The 18,746-nt window shown below is 36.8% G+C and overlaps 1 protein-coding gene across 8 annotated transcripts in view, besides 1 other annotated feature; it reads right to left on the bottom strand.

The window, feature by feature from the left end:
* Positions 1–18,746, bottom strand: part of AK5 (adenylate kinase 5) — a 277,948-nt gene that overhangs the window by 226,430 nt on the left and 32,772 nt on the right. The gene's annotated exons all lie outside the window — the stretch shown is intronic.
* Positions 10,999–11,293: an enhancer, noted in NCBI's record as "tiled region #3902; HepG2 Activating DNase matched - State 24:Quies". NCBI's record gives its function as "activates a minimal TATA promoter and a strong SV40 promoter by Sharpr-MPRA in HepG2 cells {active_cell/tissue: HepG2}" and the evidence as "EXISTENCE:reporter gene assay evidence [ECO:0000049][PMID:27701403]".

The raw sequence follows: 18,746 nt of genomic DNA, 5'->3' as shown, positions 1-18,746 counted from the left end.
AAATAAAAATTGCTTAATTCAAAAAAAGTAAGAAAGGAGGAAAGAAACACAAAACAAGTGGAACAAATAGAAGGTAAATTGTAAAATACTGGATTTAAACCTAAGTATATAAGTAATTACATTAGATTTGAACAGAATAAATATTTTAATTAAAAAAATATGAACTGGATAAAAACAAAAACAAAACTCAAGTACTTGCTGTTCATAAGAGTGTCTTAGGCTGGGTTCTCCTGTGCATGTGTGCCACACCGGCACAAAGCTAGTCACAGCAAAAACGGCTAAGTAAAAGGTGGACTCAGAGGTTATGAGGTGGGGCCTCAGAGGTGTTTGATACAGAGTACACTTTAAAGATGTGAAAAAGCTAAAGGTAAAAGGATGAGAAAACATACCATGAAGACACTAAACAACAGAAAGCTCGTAAAACTATACAAATATCAAACACAGCAGTAGACTGTAGGGAGAAAAGTATTACCTAGAGCTAAAGAGTGCCATGTCATTATGATAAAAGGTTTAATTATCCAGGAAGAAACAATAACTTTTAATTTGCATGATCTAGTAAGCTAGCTCAAAGTATTTAAAGCTGAACTTGAACAGAACTAAAAGGAGAAAGTCACAAATCCACAATTATAGTAGCAAATTTTAATATATCTTTCTGAGCAACTGATAGAATAAGTAGCAAAAAACTCAGAGTACAGAATATTTCAACACAATTAACAAACCAACATTTATTTATAATGCTGCAACCATCCAGTTGAGGATAAAGTCTTTAAAAACACACAGAGAAGTTGTCATAAAAGTTGAATATATTCTGAGCCATAAAGGAAGCCTCAGCAAGTTTGAAATGATTGAAATCATATAATCATCAATGGCTGTAGTAGAAATAAGCTCGGCATAAATAATAAAAATAAATAAATAAATAAATAAATAAATAATCAAATAAATAATAAAAATATAACTAGAAAATCCCCATGTATAGAAATTAAATGACACACTAATAATATATTTCCTGGGTTGAAAAATCACCATGGCAAAAAATAATATTTTATATTAAATTATAACAAAATTGTGACATTCTAAAACATTTGCAAGGTTGAAATCAGTGATCTATCTGTGTCAAAATGGTAAAAAAAAAAAGAAAAATTTAGACCTTTTAAGGTCTACTAAAAAGTAGAAAGAAGAAAAGATAAAGAGTAGAAAGTAATAAAATATAAAATAAGCATATTATAGCTAAGGGGTTGGTTTTTTGAAAAGACTAATAAAATTGATAATCCCTGGTAAAACTAATGAAGAAAAAGAGGAAAGGCACGAATAATATTGCAAATAAAAATAAATGAATCTCTAAATATTCTATAAAGTTTAAGATACTAAAAGAGGATATTAAGAATAACTTTATGAAAACAATTTGGAAATGTTATATAAAATGAACAGATTTCAGTGGGACATGATAGTGCATGTCTGTAGTCCTACCTACTCAAGAGGCTAAGGTGGGAGGATCCCCTGAGCCTGGGGAAGTCAAGGCTGCAGTGAGCCATGATGGTGCCACTGCACTCCAGCCTGGGTGACAGAATGAGACCCTGTCTCAAAAAGAAAGAACAGATTTCTAGAAAAACTCAACTTCTCCATACTGACAAAAGAATGAACAGAAAGTCTAAATAGTCCTATATTTATGAAAGATATTAAATCCATAATTCAAAACTCTCACAAAAACAAAACCATAGACCTAGGTGGCTTCACTGGTGAAATGTACTAGAAACCAATCTAACAAAAGCCTTCTGTAAAATACCAAAAAAAGGGAATATTTTCCAATTCATTTTATGAGGCTACCATAATCCAAAGCCTGAGAACAACATTAGAAGAAAAAAAAATTTTAGGCCGATCTCACTCATGAACATAGACACAAAAATTCTAATAATATAGCAAATGAATCTGTCAATATATAAAAAGGATTATACATATCATGACCAATTTGGATTTAACCTGTGGGTGAAAAATTGATTTACCTTTCAAAAACCAAGCACTGTAGTTTATGAAATGAATAGAATAAAGGGGAAAATCATTTGATAATCTTAATAAATTAATAAATACGGAAAAAGCTTTGGTAATATTTAACATTCATTCATGATACTCTTATCAAACTAGGAATTCAAGAGGTCTTCTTTCATGTGATAAAGAACAAATATACAAAATGAATAGCAAGCATCATACTTAATTGGGAAATGTTGAAACCTTTCCCTTCAAGATCAGGACTGAAACAAAGATGCTCATTATCATCACTTCTAGTTAACATTGTAATAGAGATTTTAGACAGTTCAATAAGACACAAAAAAGAAATAAAACACAAGTTTGGAAAGAAAGAAATACAATTGCCATTATTTGCATATGATATGATTGTATATATAAAAATGAAAAATTTAAAACTATTAGAATATGCAAATTTAGCATGGTCTGCATAATTATATTATATTTTTGTATATTAGCATATTATATTTTTGTATATTAGCATAAGGCTAATATACAAAAATCAACTTTATTTCTATGTACTAGCAACAAATAACTTAAAATGGAAATAAAAATATTAAATTTTAAAAAGTCATTTAATTACCTAGGGGGAAAATCTAATGAAGGATGGTACAAAAACACTATACTAATCTTGGTAGACATTAAAGAAGACTTAAAATGAGGCATGTGCCATATTCATGGATGGAACACTTAATATCATAAAATATGTCATTTTTTCCCAAATTGATCTGTAGATTAAATGTAATCCCTAAATTCCAACAGGTTTTCTGGGGAGGGATACAGAAATTGGAAAGCTGATTCAAATTTATTTGGAAATGCAGAAGATCAAGAATAACCAAGGTGATCTTCAAGCCAATCTTGAGGAAAAAGAATAAAGCAATAGATAGTGTGGTATTGCTGTAAGGAAAACTAGTAGAACACTGGAACAGAAGAGAGAACCTAGAGACAGATTCACTGCCCAAATATATGGGAGTCTGATTTATGGCAAAGGTGGCTCTGCAATGCAGTAGGGAAAAGGACAGTCTTTTCAACAAATGGTACTGGGTAAAGTGGATGTCCATATGGAAAACAATGACTCTGGACTCCCTACATTATATGATATGCAAACAATTCATTCTAGATGGATTTTCAGATCTAAATGTGAAAGACAAAATGATAAATAGTCTAGAAGATAATACATAAGAAAATAGTTTCTATATCTTAGGGTTGGTAAGGATTTCTCAAACAGAACCTAGAAAACTCTAACCATAAAAGAAAAGTTTGATAAAATAGATTGCTTTAAAATAGAGAAAAACACACTTATTATTAAAATACTCCATTAAGAGTAAGAAAATGTCAGCTACACAGGAGATGTTTGCCACACGTATAACCAACCTCATTCCCTCTCTTCATTTTTGAGGAGAAAATAGTTGTCTACAGTTGGTCAGAAAGACTTTTCACTCTGCTACAATTCTGAGCAGAGGTATGGTTTGCCTCTCTTTTATCTCCAAGAGGCTGGAGAATATCCATCTTTCTTTCTGTCTGCTGCTCATCTTTCTATTTTGAACTTGCTTTTTCTATGCAGCTAGTGAGATCTGCCTGACTTAATTCTCAGAAGACCTCTGTTGGGCAGCTAAGAGCTGACAGAGTTTATGGTTCTCTGGCTCCAGTTCCTGGCTTCTTCTCCACTAGCATTGCCTGAATCAACATTTTTGTGACAATAGCACGGCAACCTGAGACTGGGGGTGAAATTAGGATTGGAGGAGGCTTTGGTCAGCTTTGGTCCCAGGCTCCAGGCTATCCCCAGCCCAGATAAAAGGAATTCTTCATGTGGTTCAGATAGCATTTTGGGACTCCCCTTGGATTTGATAACAAAGTTTCACAGCAAAGGAATGGTTTTGTTTCTGAAAAGGTAGTCCTTGCACTAGTTGCCCTTGTTCAGGCATCCTCTAGAAGCCTGTTAGAAATGCAAATTCATATGGCCAGGCACAGTGGCACACCTGTAATTCCAGCTACTCAGGAGGATGAGGTGGAATGATCAGTTCAGCCCAGGAGTTTGAGACCAGCCTGGGCAACACAGAAACACCCCATTTAAAAAATGCAAATTTATGGGCTCCATTCTGCTTTATTGAACCAGAATCTCTGGAAATGGGACCCATGAAAGTGTGTTTTAACCTCTTCTTTATATTATAAGAAACTTTCTACACAGAAATGAGTGGTCAAGATGGGACCTCAGTGAAGTTGTAGGGTATTTAAAAGTAAAATAATAACAACAATAAAAATCCAAAGTGTATCAATATGATTAACCATGAAAATGAAAAAAAAAAGCTTTTTTTTTTTTTTTCACTGAGGGAGACAACTAGTATATGAATCTTTATTTTGGTGGTTTAGCCATTTCCTGTTGAAAAGCTGCGCTCCATCTGTTATTGTTTGAGTATGTCCACCAAAAGTTCACGTGTTGGCAATTTAGTTGCCATTCTATTGGTATTAAGAGGTGGGGCCTTTGGGAGGCAATTGGGTTAATACCATTACAGTGGGAGTTCAGCCCCCTTTGCTGTCTTGTGTTCTCTCATCCACCCTTCGGCCATGGGATGACTCTTGCCAGACGCTGGCAACAGCCTCTTAGGCTTCCCAGCCTCAAGAACCATAAGCCATATTCACTTCCGTTCTTTATAAATTACCCAGGCTGTGGTATTGTTATAACAGCATAAAAGGAACTAAGACACTATCCATTTCCATGATCCTGTGGTAATCTCTTACAGCCCCAAATGCATATTGTTCTACTACTTTAGTAAATAAGTTAGTTACTAAGTTACTCTGTCCTTTCAGAAGCCTAATTAATCATATCTGCTGAACAGAGTATATCGTTAGTGGATTCAAAAATATATCATTAAAATTAGTTTATGAAACATACATTTCTGTGGCTTCATTTTTATGGCTCAAATCTTCATTTCAATAAGAGTGATTGGGGTACATTAGGCTCTCAAGATATAGGACTTTAATAAAGAGGAAAAAGTTGAAGTTTTTTTTTTTCTTTTTTTTTGAGATGGAGTCTCACACTGTCACCTGGGAGTGCAACGGTGCGATCTCGGCTCACTGCAACCTCCGCCTCCTGGGTTCAGGCAATTCTCCTGCCTCAGCCTCCTGAGTAGCTGGGATTACAGGCTCCCGCCACCACGCCCGGCTAATTTTTTGTATTTTTAGTAGACACAGGGTTTCACTATGTTGGTCAGGCTGGTCTTGAACTCCTGACCTCGTGATCTGCCCACCTCAGCATCCCAAAGTGCTGCAATTACAGGCGTGAGCCACTGCACCTGGCCTGAAGTTTTAATGAATAGTATATACCAGGTTGACAATAAGGAAATGAATGTAAAGTTACAAAGCTATTTCTTTTCCCCAAGATGTCTTTTCCTCACTGCTAACTTGATTATTCAGGCATCTATTTCATTTATTTATACATTTATTCAGCTAGTATTTACTAGGATCCTATTATGAGCTAGAAGTGAAGTTCTGGAAAGGTAGACTGAGACTAGATGGGCTGGCATTGTCTTCCATGCTAAGCAGCTGGGGTTTTGTTTCATATACATGGGAGTAATATATTTTATTTTGTCCTTTAGAGTGCTAATGGCAGTGCAGGCAGCAGACTGGATGGGGAGAGACTAGAGGCAAACAGATCATCTGGAAGAGCTAATGAGCCTGAACTGTCTATAATTATGTGCCCTTTATGAATAGAGGGCAAATAACATATAATGTAAAACATGATCTTTATGACCATAAGTGCTAACACTAGGCAAACAGCACTGAGATTAGACAAAATAACTTTCTGAAATTGGAGGGGAGGGAGAAACGAAGGCAAATGAGTAAAGTTAAAAAATACATCAGCTGTTTCTACACCTGTGGGGTGAGCTATGCCTGCCTGGTTCATGGTGATCAGTTTATGGATTCCTCATTACTAGTGCATGTAATGCATGATTGAATAAACTGCAAACAGTGTCTATTAAGAAGCAGTCAAATGACTGGACGATAATGTTGGCCGATGTTGCCAGACTCAGCCAGGAAAAATCACTGCAGAGATTTTCTTCAGCATGTTGTTAATGTCACCATTTAGCAAACTTCTTTGTGTGTATGTGTTTTTTTTTTTTTTTTTTGAGACAGGATCTTGCTCTGTTGCCCAGGCTGGAATGCAGTGGCACAATCATAGCTCACTGCAGTCTCAAACTCTTTGGCTCAGGTGATTCTCCCACCTCAGCTCTTGAATAGCTGGGACTACTGGTGCATGCCACCATGCCCAGTTTATTTATTTACTTATGTATTTGTAGAGATAGGGTCTTCCTGGTTTGCCCAGGCTGGTCTTGAACTCCTGGCCTCAAACAATCCTGCCACCTTGGCCTTTCAAAGTGCTGGGATTACAGACATGAGGCATTGCACCCTGCCCCATTTAGCAAACTTCTAAGCCAGCTCTCTCTACCTGCCTTCTTACAAACATTTAACATTTAAATTCATGATATTGACTATAGGAATGATTGCCCATGAGATTCTGTTATTGGTATGTGAACACAATCCTGACGTATATTGACTACTATGTTCATGAATTCATGGAAGCAAAGATTGAGAAGAATCCTTAAAGATCATGTGGTCCAAATTCCTATTTAATCTGCATAGCAATTAATCTTCAAAAAAAATTTGGAGCTAACTAAAAATATGTATCTTTAGTTTCATTGTATTCATTTAAAAAAGAAATAACAGTGTTATTTCTCCTTGATCTACCTACTTTGGACAACTGGATTTTATACTTTCACACATATTGCATCTATTCAAAGGAAGTATTAGAAAAGTGATTTAGACATTCTTAAAGGAAGAAGCACATTTTCAAATCTTTTAAAAGCATTTCTTGGAGGAAAATAAAACTCCAGAGTATATTAAATGTGAACTGATAATGGGAGAATACAAAAGAGTGAGAAATTATGTGATAGCACCATTAATACTTCATGCACAAACCTACTGAATGGAAAATAGACTAAAAACTTGACACAAAATGTCATTATTAAAGATTTCCATTTGAAACTTACATGAAAGTACTTTAAAAAAAAAAAACTTTGGTGTTATTCCAAAGGCAAACTGGTATCTTTTTTTTAGGAATAAGTTACTTTGATTTACGTAGCTGAAAGAAGCTAACACTTCAAAAGAAGATTCATGCTTAATATAGTCCTATTTCACACTTATCCACATTTATTTCTTACCACTCAAACACAAAGACTGTCTCCAAAGAAATTCATAAGGCTATTAAGTTATTAATGGATGGAGGAGTGATGGTATTGCACTCTATTCATTAGGTCTTAACCAGATCTCTCCGCTTATCTCAGAGAGTTATCTCAGAATAACTCTCCTCTTTCATATTGGTAATGAAAAAATAATTTAAACATATCATCAGCCAATATTTGAGGCATTAAGTAACACCTAAAGTCCAGCCATAATTTGATAATATATCTTTAGTGCATCTTGTTCTCAAATTTTTCTTGCACATCCTACATATAAGAAACATTAAGGAAGAATCACTCATTTTTCCACTCCAATCCATAAACATTTATTAATTGTTTAATATGTACCTTTAACAGGTTAAACTAGCTCACTATTCTTCATTCATTTCTTTTTCTTTTTAAACATTTTCTGACAAGTATGGTTCTAAAACCACCTGGAAATGCACTGATAGGTGTCCACTTCAGTTCAACAAACATTTACTAAGCATTTGCTATGAGCCAAATACCACACTAGATGAAAGAGATGCAAAATGGGCAAGATATAGTCCCTCCCCACAAGGTTCTCCCAATCCATTGTAGAAGCAGACACATAAAATATTATTTCAATACAGTGGAATTGTATGGAAGTTTCACTATATTGGAATATAGTCCCAAAATGGAGACCAGCACAGGGTGTAACAGAGGTAGAGAAGAGGGCCTTGAGGTCTGGAAACTTGTGGTCGACGTGAGCAGCACATGATCATATGGCATGTTGTCTTTCCCCAGCAACTTTTTAGGACTCTGCTTTTCCCGTAAAAGTGTGTAGGGAGAGGAAGAAAATAAGGAGTTACATCCAAGGTTGTGTCCTGGCAGGCAAAAATGGGTCTGTGAGAAACCCTGATGATATAATCAAATTACCTTTCTATCAGTCATTAGTGAGATTTTATTCTACTACTACCAGAAATATAATAGTTGCATTTTGTATTTAAAAAGTGGTGGTCAGGTGCATTGGCTTATGCCTGTAATCCCAACACTTTGGGAGGCCGAGGTGGGCGGATCACCAGGTCAGGAGCTTGAGACCAGCCTGACCAACGTGGTGAAACCCCGTCAAAAAATACAAAATACAAAAAAAAAAAAAAACAAAAAACCTACAAAAATTAGCCAGGCATGGTGGCATGTGCCTGTAATCCCAGCTACTCAGGAGGTTGAGGCAGGAGAATTGCTTGAACCCAGGAAGCAGAGGTTGCAGTGTAGTGAGCCGAGATTGCACCACTGCACTCCAGCCTGGATGACAGAACAAGCCTCCGTCTCAAAAAAAAAAGTAGCTCGTAATCTGACATCCAGCTCTAAATTGCTCTGATGTAATAGAGAATGATGAATTCAAGCTTCAAGTTAGAGGCTGATGGCCTGGTAGCCACCATCACATCCAGAAGAGGAAGCTAAGCCGAGAGACTACCCAATGAAACGATCTGCAGAATACATGAAATCAAGTCTCCTTCAGACAATCAGGAACAGTCTCTGTTCAACAATTTCCCCATCTCGCCTCATGCCCCTTTAACTACAACCCTACTTCCAGGAGGAGGGTAGAGGTTTTTTTTTTTTCCCTATAAAGATCTAATAAATGTCTTGGTAGATTCAGAGTTTCTAGAACATCTGAGATGAGAATTCAAATGGTTTAACTCTGCGGTCTACATCCTGGGGGGTGTGGCCCCATTCAGGTGGGTTTATATCTGGGATGAGCAGAGAATCATCATTACTAATTATCACTGCACTTTAGATACAGCTTCAGAATCCTTCTCAGCATACTGGGTTAGGCAGTCGTTGCAATTTGAATGTGGTACACAAGATGAAATCTTTTTGCCACCATTGGTTTATACACATAAATGAGGTGGCTCTATAGGCATACACGAAAATTAGTTTTAGTCTTATTCTATAGCCATGAGTAAGACACACACACACACACACACACACACACACACACACGCAAATGGTGAACTTTTTTTTAATATGTTCCACACTTAATTAATTGAATTTTTAAAGCAGTGGTGGACAGAAGAGACATTTTCATTAAAATCAGAGAAGTTATTTCCTAACATTGTTCATGCCATTTCTTAATGTTCGGCATTTTCAGCAGGCTAATCTTCACCCTACTTTCTCATTAGTAAATGGGTAGATTGCCAAGGCTCTACAAGGCAATAGCTATTATAAGAACGGGTCTTTTCAAATTGTGCTGGTGCCTTGAGTTGAACCCAGACTTTTGAGTCTCTGTTGGCTGCAGCAGCAGCAGCAGCTGCTTTCACCCTGGTCTTCTGCTCCAGCAGGGAGCCAGAGCACTGAAATGTAATCATTCTCACAGGATATTTTTAGATTATTGATTTGGTGCTTTATTGTTTCCTTATTTTTGGAAATGTATGAGTGATTTGGACAGAAACTAATCTGAACTGGAAACCCTTTCCAAATATTTCTCTCCTCTATTTCTTTCTCTGTGTGTGTGTTATATCTATCTACACACACGTGTATGTATGCACACACATACACATACATAAACACACACTGACTAAAGAATGATATTTATTAGAATATTTGGTAGTTCAAGTGGAATATATTTGAGTTAATTTCCAAAAGGCTTATTATTAAATTATAATAGAAAGCAAAGAAGTTCAGATATGGAAAGGCCTGCTAGGGATTTTAAACCATTATTCATTCTAATTATTCATTTGCTCGTTCATTTCGATCATTCATTCAGTAAATATTGAGTGTTTATATGTACAAAAATAATATTAAAGAATTCCTAAAACTTTTCAGACAAGAAGAATCAATGATTGGCTCTAATAATTTGCTCTAATGTTTATGGTACTTTTAAGGAGATGTTTCTCCTATATAAATTCAAAATTGTTTTCTTAAATGCAAATTTATTTACTCAGCAGAAAAGAAGCAGACAACATGCTATTTAAAAACTCTTTTACATGCATGGGAAACAGTTATAAGGAGATGACTATAAAGAAAAACAGGCTGGGTGCGTTGGTTCACACCTATAATCCCAGCACTTTGGGAGGCCAAGGTAGGCAGATCCCCTGAGGTCAGGCATTTGAGACCAGTCCGGCCAACATGGCGAAACTCTGTCTCTACTAAAAATACAAAAAAAATTAGCCGGGCGTGGTGGTGCATGCCTGTAGTCGCAGCTACTTGAGGAGGCTGAGGCAGGAGAACTGCTTGAACCTGGGAGGTGGAGGTGGCAATGAGCCGAGATTGTGCCACTGGACTCCAGCCTGGGTGACAGAGCGAAATTCTGTCTCAAAAGAAAAAAAAAAAGAAAAGAAAAACAAAGATTTTGAAATAAACAGCGCAGAACTTGTGAAACTAAATGCATTCTCTGTGAAACTAAATGCATTCTCTCTTACAAAATAGGGCATTTGGAAAATTAAAAATTCACTTTAATATGTTGTCCACTGCTCAGAGCATTTTGGGATCTAACTTCAGACAGGATCTTCTGAATCTAAACAGCAGTCCTTTGAGACTAGATCGACCTTTTTTATTGCTTAGGGAGATAGTATAGTTGGGTGGAGAGAGCACTGGAGAAAAGACAGTAAGGTGCGTAATTTAGCTCTCACGTTAACTAGATGTGTGAATTCCAGCCAGTCATTTAATCTCTCTGGGACTCAATTTTCTCATTTACAAAATGAGATCAGTAGCTACCAATCTTTTTTAGTTCAAAGACCGTTTTTAAAGTTTTTTTGTCTTTGTTTTTGCTTTTTTTAAAATCCCAAGAATCTCCACATGGTAAAGCTGTACTTTTGGCATCAGTTGATTGAGAAAATGCTTCTGTTTGCCTAGGTTTGCTTTCCTCTGCAATGACTCAGCAACCCCCAGAGGGAGGAACCACCAGTCACCTGAAGCCAGATAAAGTAGCCGGTAAAATTTGTGCTTGAGTTACTCTTCTATGAATCAATGTACTCATGGAGACCATTAGTTAAAGAATGAAGAGAAAGAATTTCTTTAGGCCATGACTCACAGAAAAAAAAAGAAGAAAAAAAGAACCAAGGACTACAAACAGATTAAATCCTATAATCAAGGGCTACTCACCACATTAGTAAATTAGTCACTATTCATTCTTCTGATGCAAACACAAGCATATCACCCTCTATCCCATCCACGTATTTGGACAAATACCCATGACTATGTATTCAAACAATGCTATTTTAAAAATAAAGATATTATTCTTCTCAGTCAATATTTTAGGAAATAATCATCATGGAAAGTTAAATAATAAGCTAGACACGGCTCACCCTGTTTTCATAGTACATAAAAATTTGCTGCTAATATATAGAAATACAATTGATTAGTAAATTGACCTTGTATTCCATGACCTTGCTAAATTTAACTAATAGTTTTGGTACACATTTTGTAGATTCCTTAGGATTTTCTTTGTAAACAATCATGTATTTCAACAATATAGACAATATTAGTCCTTCCTTTCCTGTATTATGCCTTTTGTTTCTTTTTCTTGTCTCAGAGCACTATTTAGAACTTCTCAGACCACTATTTAGAATTTTTACTACTTCTATTTAACAACGTTAAATAGAAATGGTAAAAGCCGACACCCTCACAATTCCCAATATTAGGGGGCAGCACTCAACATTTTACCATTAAGTATGACGTTAGCTATATAGGTTTTTGTAGATGCTCCCTATTAGAGGAGAATTCCCTTCCAATCCCAATTTGCTGGTTTTTTAATGAACTTATGTTCAATGTTGTCAAATGCTTTTTCTGCTACTATGATCAAAAAGAACATCAAGCTTTTAAAATGTACTGAGACTTTTTTTTTTTTTGAGACGGAGTCTCGCTCTATCTATTGCCCATGCTGCAGTGCAGTGGCGAGACCTCAGCTCACTGCAACCTACGCCTCTCGGGTTCAAGTGATTCTCTTGCCTTAGCTTCCTGAGTAGCTGGGACTACAGGCGGCACCACCGCACCTGGCTGTTTTGTATTTTTAGTAGAGATGGGGTTTCACCGTGTTGGCCAGACTGCTGTCAAACTCCTGACCTCAGGTGATCCGCCCACCTCAGCCTCCCAAAATGCTGGGATTATAGGAGTGAGCCACCACGCCCGGCCGAGACTTGTATTAATGGCTTAGTAAATGGTTTATCTTGGTGAATGTACCATACACACTCAAAATCACTGTGCATTATTCAGTTGTTTGATACAGTGTTCTAGACATGTCTATTGTTCTTTAGATTTTCTATGTCTGTACTGGTATTTTGCCTAGTTGTTAATATTAAATACTGAGAGAAGATTGTTAACATTTCCAATTATGAGTTTGCATTTGTCTATTTCTTCCTTTATTTCTATCAATTTTTGAGTCATGGATATTGAAACTTTTTATTAGGTATATACACATTTATAAATTGTATGTCTTTCTGATGAATTGATGCATTCACCACTATGGAGTATTCCTCTGTCTCTGGTGATACTCTGTCTGAAGTCTACTTTAATGTCAGTAACATCACTCCAGCTTTCTTATGTGTAGTGTTTTCATGGTATACCTTTTTTTTAGACAGAGTCTTGCTTGTCAACACCCAGGCTGGAGTGCAATGGCGTGATCTCAGCTCACTGCAATCTCTGCTTCTCGGATTCAAGCAATTCTCCTGTCTCAGCTTCCTGAGTAGCTGGTATTACAGGCATGCACCACCATACCTGGCTAATTTTTGTATTTTTAGTAGAGATGGGGTTTCACCATATTGACCAGGCTGGTCCCAAACTCCTGACCTCAGGTGACCCACCTGCCTCAGCCTCCCAAAGTGGTGAGATTACAGGCATGAGCCACCGCACCTGGCTTGGTTATACCTTTTTAATCCTTTACTTTCAATCTGCGTTTTAATTGTTTAAAAAGTGTCTCTTGTAAAAATGAAGTATGCTTATTTCTACCCACATAATGAAAATCCCATTTTAATCTTTCCGTTATGGTAGAAATCCTTCCAATACGGTTTGGCTGAGTCCCCACCCAAATCTCATCTTGAATTGTAGTTCCCAAAATCTCCACGTGTCAAGGTAGGGACCAGATGCAAGGTAATTGAATCATGGGGGCATTTACCCCCATGCTGTTCTCATGATACTGAGTTCTCATGAGACCCGATGGTTTTCTAAGGGGCTTTCCCCACTTTGCTCAGCACTTCTTCCTGCCGCCCTGTGAAAAAGGTGCCTTTCTTTCCCTTTGTCTTCTGCCATGATTTTAAGTTTCCTGAGGCTTCCCCAACCATGCAAAACTGTGAGTCAATTAAACCTCTTTTCTTTGTAAATTACCAGTCTTGGGTATTTCTGCATAGTAGCATGAGAATGGACTAATACACCTTCTGTAGAATAAACAATTACCCTGTTTATTCATTTTAGAAATTCAGCATCTCTAACATTTTTCTCATAACGTGGGGCACACTTGTACACATAATCATTCTTCACAGAATGCAATGTGCTTATAGTCAGTGAGACTAAATCAGTAGGATCTGAGAATAGTATCTTGGACTTCCAACATATATGACAGCCAGTTTAATTTGAATTTATATTTTTGGCAATTACTTAAGATATCCAAATTATAACTGTCTCTGCATTTTCTCAAGAAACTGGTCTTTTCTATTAAAGACATTAAGGAAATTGGGCCTGGAAATTAAGGAAATACAATAGTTTATGTTTGAGTGAATCTTGGTGCAGAAAATACAAAATGTTACCACTGGGCAGCCTTTTGTCACTCATCCTTATGAGGCATTCTGGAGGAATCAAACCAGTGTGTGCTGGCATAAAAGAATGAAGACACAGTCATTGAACAACTGCTGTGGGCAGTGCCTTGCAGAGCCATGAGAAATACAAAAAGTAGATAAAAGAGTTTCAGCCCTTAATAAATCTGATTGTGTTATCCATTTTCCCTTTGCCCCTCTAGCTCTACTCTACCATTCTCTCCCCAATTCTGTGCCCTGATGACTCTTCTGAAATGTATAAATCAGTTCTCTTGATCTCTGGCTTGCAGCTGTTTTTGACCAACGGTAAGCATCAGTAGGAGATCAGAGGAAGGGAGGAAAGGAAAGTCTTGAAATTTATTCCCTTGGCTCTCATCCTGTGGAATCATCATGAGCTGGCTACCTCTCTCTACTAAAGGTCAAGGCCCCTATAAGGAACCTTTCTTCATACATCTGTCTTTTTCTAGGTTGAAGTAACTACTCCTCCTCCTTGAACCTATAGGCCTTGGGATGGAAACAGAACCCACTTCCAGCAGCCCTGTAGTATTGAACTATCTTTTGTTGTTTGTCCCACACATACCTTTCCATTTTTTCCTCATGTCCTATGCACACCTTTATTAAACACTCTTCTGTTCAGCCTATTTGAGTATGCCATTGCTTTCCTGCTGGAACCTGACACAGCAATATGATGAACTAATAATTAGCAATATAAAGCATTATACGATAAGGATCATATAAATATTGTAAATTGTAACATAATTTGCTGAAGAAGTGGAGAGTAGACAGAAATCTCCAACTCTTAGGGTCCTAAAGGAAGATGTCCAAGAGAAGGGGAGACTGGACAAGCAGAAAAAAAAAAAGACCCACTGAAGAGAGACAAGCAGTGAGGGAGCAAGAACAAAGTGTATTGAAGGCACACTGGTAAAACAAGCCGGGTCCTGCTCAAATCGGATTGTTCAAATCAGATTGTTTAGGGTAGTGATTCCATGGAGACTCATGCACCTAATGACATTAATACTGGGAACACATCTTACTTGAAATTCCTCATAGTCTAAGGAATTTCTCTTCCAGTCAGAAAGTGTGAAGACTAGTGAAGGTGACATTACTGATGTTATGATTTGAATCATGTCCCCACCCAAATCTCATGTCAAATTTTAATCTCCAATGTTGGAGAAGGGGCCTGGTGAGAGGTGATTAGATCATGGGGGCAAAGTTCTCATGAATGGTTTAGCAGCATCCTCCCTTGCTCCTGTATAATGAGTAAGTTCTCACAAGATCTAGTTGTTTACAAGTGTGTAGCATCTCCCCGCCTCTCTTTCTTCCTCCTGCTCCAGCCATGTGAAGTGCCATCTACCCCTTTAAGATTCCGCCATGATTGACACCAAGCAGATGCTGCCATGCTTCCTGTACAGCCTGTGGAACTGTGAGCCACTTAAACTTCTTTTCTATATAAATTACCCAGTCTCAGGTATTTCTTTATAGCAGTGTGAGAATGAACTAATACAATTGGGATAATGATGGATGTGCTCCAATTTCAGTGCTTCACTATTATTCGCAACAGACCACTTGTTTCATAACTATGACAACATGCTATGGCTGAGAATCTTTGCTGTGTGCCATTATAGACTAAAGTTTGCATGCTAATGTGTTTAAGAATAAACGTTACTAAAAGTTGCTGATTTGTAAACTTGCAGATTCTTGGGTTCCGCTCACCAGAAATTCTAATTCAGTAATTCTCTCAGGGAGACTGGACAATACACATTTTTTAACAAGACATGTACTTGATTCTGAATCAAACCATAGAAGGAGAAACATATTTGTGGACAATAATTGTCATGAAAGGTTTTCAATCAAAGGGGTGAACTAATGGCAGTGGTCTTTCAGAAAGATTAGTCTGGCCACAGGACACAGACAGACTAGATGTGGAAAGAATGAGGACAGGGAAGGTAGTTAAGAGAAGACTCTAAAAGTTCAAATAGATGGGACTGAACACCTGGCATGAAAAGATGAGCAAGAAACAAAATGAAGGGAAGGGACACATATCAGCAAAGTGAAAAATGGGCAGGTATTTATTATTTATTGAGCTTTATGGTGTGGGGGTTTAAAACATGTCAACAAGTGTTTTTTTACACTCTTCCTATTTAAAAAAAAAGTGGATTCTAATTCCCTTCCCCTTGAATATAGGCCAGTCTCAGTGGCTCATTCTTAACAAATAGAAAGTGATAGAAGCGACACTGTATGACTCCTGAAGCTAGGTTACAAAAGGTGATAGGGCTTCCTTCTGGCTCTCTCAAGTTAATGCCTTTAGAGCCCTGAGCTGCTATGGAGTCCAGCTACCCTGAGACTTCCATGCAGAGAGATGAGAAGAGATGCCTGAGGAGCCTCAGCTGTTCCAGCACTCAACAGTTGGAGTCTTCCCAAACCAAGCATGAGGTATACAGATTGAGAAGACTTTGAGATTACTGCAACCCCAATCACCATTTAAATGCAACCTCAAAAGCGATGCTGAGTTGAAACCAATCAGCTGAGCAGTTCTTGATTTCCTGACCCATATAAAGCACGTGAAATTATAAATATTGTTGTTTTAAGCCAGTAAGTTTTTGGGTTGATTCGTTATGCAGCAACCATGCCTTGATATACATGGCAAAATCAAAGATGACTCTAATTTTATCTTTACACAAAGTTTGGATATTGACTCTCCACTTGGCATAAGGCAATTATAAATATCTCATCAGCCTTTTAACTTTAATGGTCTTTTGTAGCATCACAGCAAATTGCAATAAAAATAAATGAATAATCATCTTCTACTAACATATTATCAATTTCAAAACCTAATTATTAAATAATTATAAACAAGCTAAGTCATTAGTTCCAGGAGAAAGCATCAACATTTTCTTTTAATATTTTCATGAAAGTGCTAATGCTTAGAAAACATATTGCATAATTAAAATTAAATCACTCTCCCTTAGGAGGAAATCAAATTTGTCTCCCTTAGGCACAGCAAATCAAATTATGAGTTTGTCAAATCAATTCACTATGCAAGTAGGATGATAGCCCTCTGAGGGTTAATTTTCTTTTATCTCTAACGTTTTTTAAAAAACCATATTTATCTAGTTGAGAATTTTTCATATATCCACTCTCACTCACTCAAACTCAGAACTTACTCTATTTTAGACTCCTTAAATGGCAATGCTGAGGCTAAATTACAGATCCTAGAGGAAATCACAAATAGAAAAAGAAAAAAAAAATGAACAGATAGTCATTCTACATGCTTCAGCAGGCCTCACTCTCTCATCCCACAATGCATGCATGACAAATGGAGTTCACAAGGGCTGTGTTTGCTCCAGGGCCACAACCTTCCTAAGCACAATTCCTGGAGTCCTTTCTGTCTTACTCAAGAAGCCAGAAGGAATGCAACTGAGTAAGAGTGGCATTTAGGAGGTCATGGGGGCTTTAAAGTCCCTTCCCATCATGACCACTCCACTATGATCGTGGTAAAAATGCTTTGTGTCTGCTAGCACCAAGCATCAGTACTTTTATAAACAGCATACTTCACACCTTAGAAAACAAAAGCACCACCATGAACTGCTGCTTTCGACAGGAGTTTGAATTTGTGTTAAAGAAACCATTCCTTCAGTCATTCCCCACAAGATTGCTGAGAGTTTGGTATCAGACATGTTTGATTCCCTAGCCCGGGATTCCTTAAGTAGGGTGCACACATCCAGGAGGATGGCTCGAGATGATAAATTGGGGTGCAAAAAGAAATATTATATCTTCTGTTCAAATTGACTTTTTAAATTTAACAAGCAGAATAAATTAAGCTTCACCAGTCTTTGGCATAAAGACTGACATTGTGGCGCCCACTGTATCAGTCACCTGTCGCCTACATAGGAGCTACATATTTTGTGATACATTTTATTTTTTGTGACAAAACAACAAATAAAATCAAGTATCACTATCCAATCAGTTTAGTTTTAATCAAACCTTTGAATCCTGTCTCATAAAGTTTTTAATCAAATCTTTGAATCCTATTTCATAAAGTTTTAACCAAGTTTCTTCAAAGTAGTTTCATTTTAAATCACATTGTGCTTAAAATGTTAGTGAGATAAAATCATTTTTATACTAAAATAGAATATAAATTGCTAAAATTATTGGTTATTTCACCTTCATTTCTCCTTCTTAAATATTCTCTATGTTTTATAATTCACTTTCTAATGTATACTAAGGGCTCAAATAACTTACTGGTAGTATGCATGACCAAAAAAGTATGGCGAATAATATCCAAATGTGTTAAGTGAAAAAAACAAAAATGTGAGAGCAAGAATCTATACACATCCTTCCTTGTATAAAATATCTCTGGAAGGATAAGGTGTCTGCTTTCTGGGAAGGTACCTGGAGACAAGAATAAGAGAGAGTTTCCAGTGTATGTAATTTTATATCCTTAAAATATTCAGCTACCTAAATGTGTTGTCTATTTGAAATTAAAGTTTAAAAAAATGAGAGACCATATGCTAATCATTGTATGTATTTATACTCTATTATGCATGATTATATGTACACGTATTTTACCGTAAGGGTACATTATTCATTCATCTTTGTGTTTCCAGGACAAAGTACAATAGCCTAGAACATGATAGCATCTCAATAAATATCTGTTGTTAAATGAAACTTCTTGGAATGATTATGTGAAAAGCTCTCATCTTCTCCTGAGATATCTGTGTCATTTCATAATCTGGAATACTATGGACCTTACAGGTGTTCGCCTCTCTCCCATTCACTTTATTCT

The sequence above is a fragment of the Homo sapiens genome, chromosome 1, assembly GCF_000001405.40.
Source record: "Homo sapiens chromosome 1, GRCh38.p14 Primary Assembly".
Taxonomy (NCBI): Eukaryota; Metazoa; Chordata; class Mammalia; order Primates; family Hominidae; genus Homo; species Homo sapiens.
The sequence above is the reverse complement of the archived record's forward strand: the minus strand, read 5'-3'. Positions and strand labels throughout refer to the sequence as shown.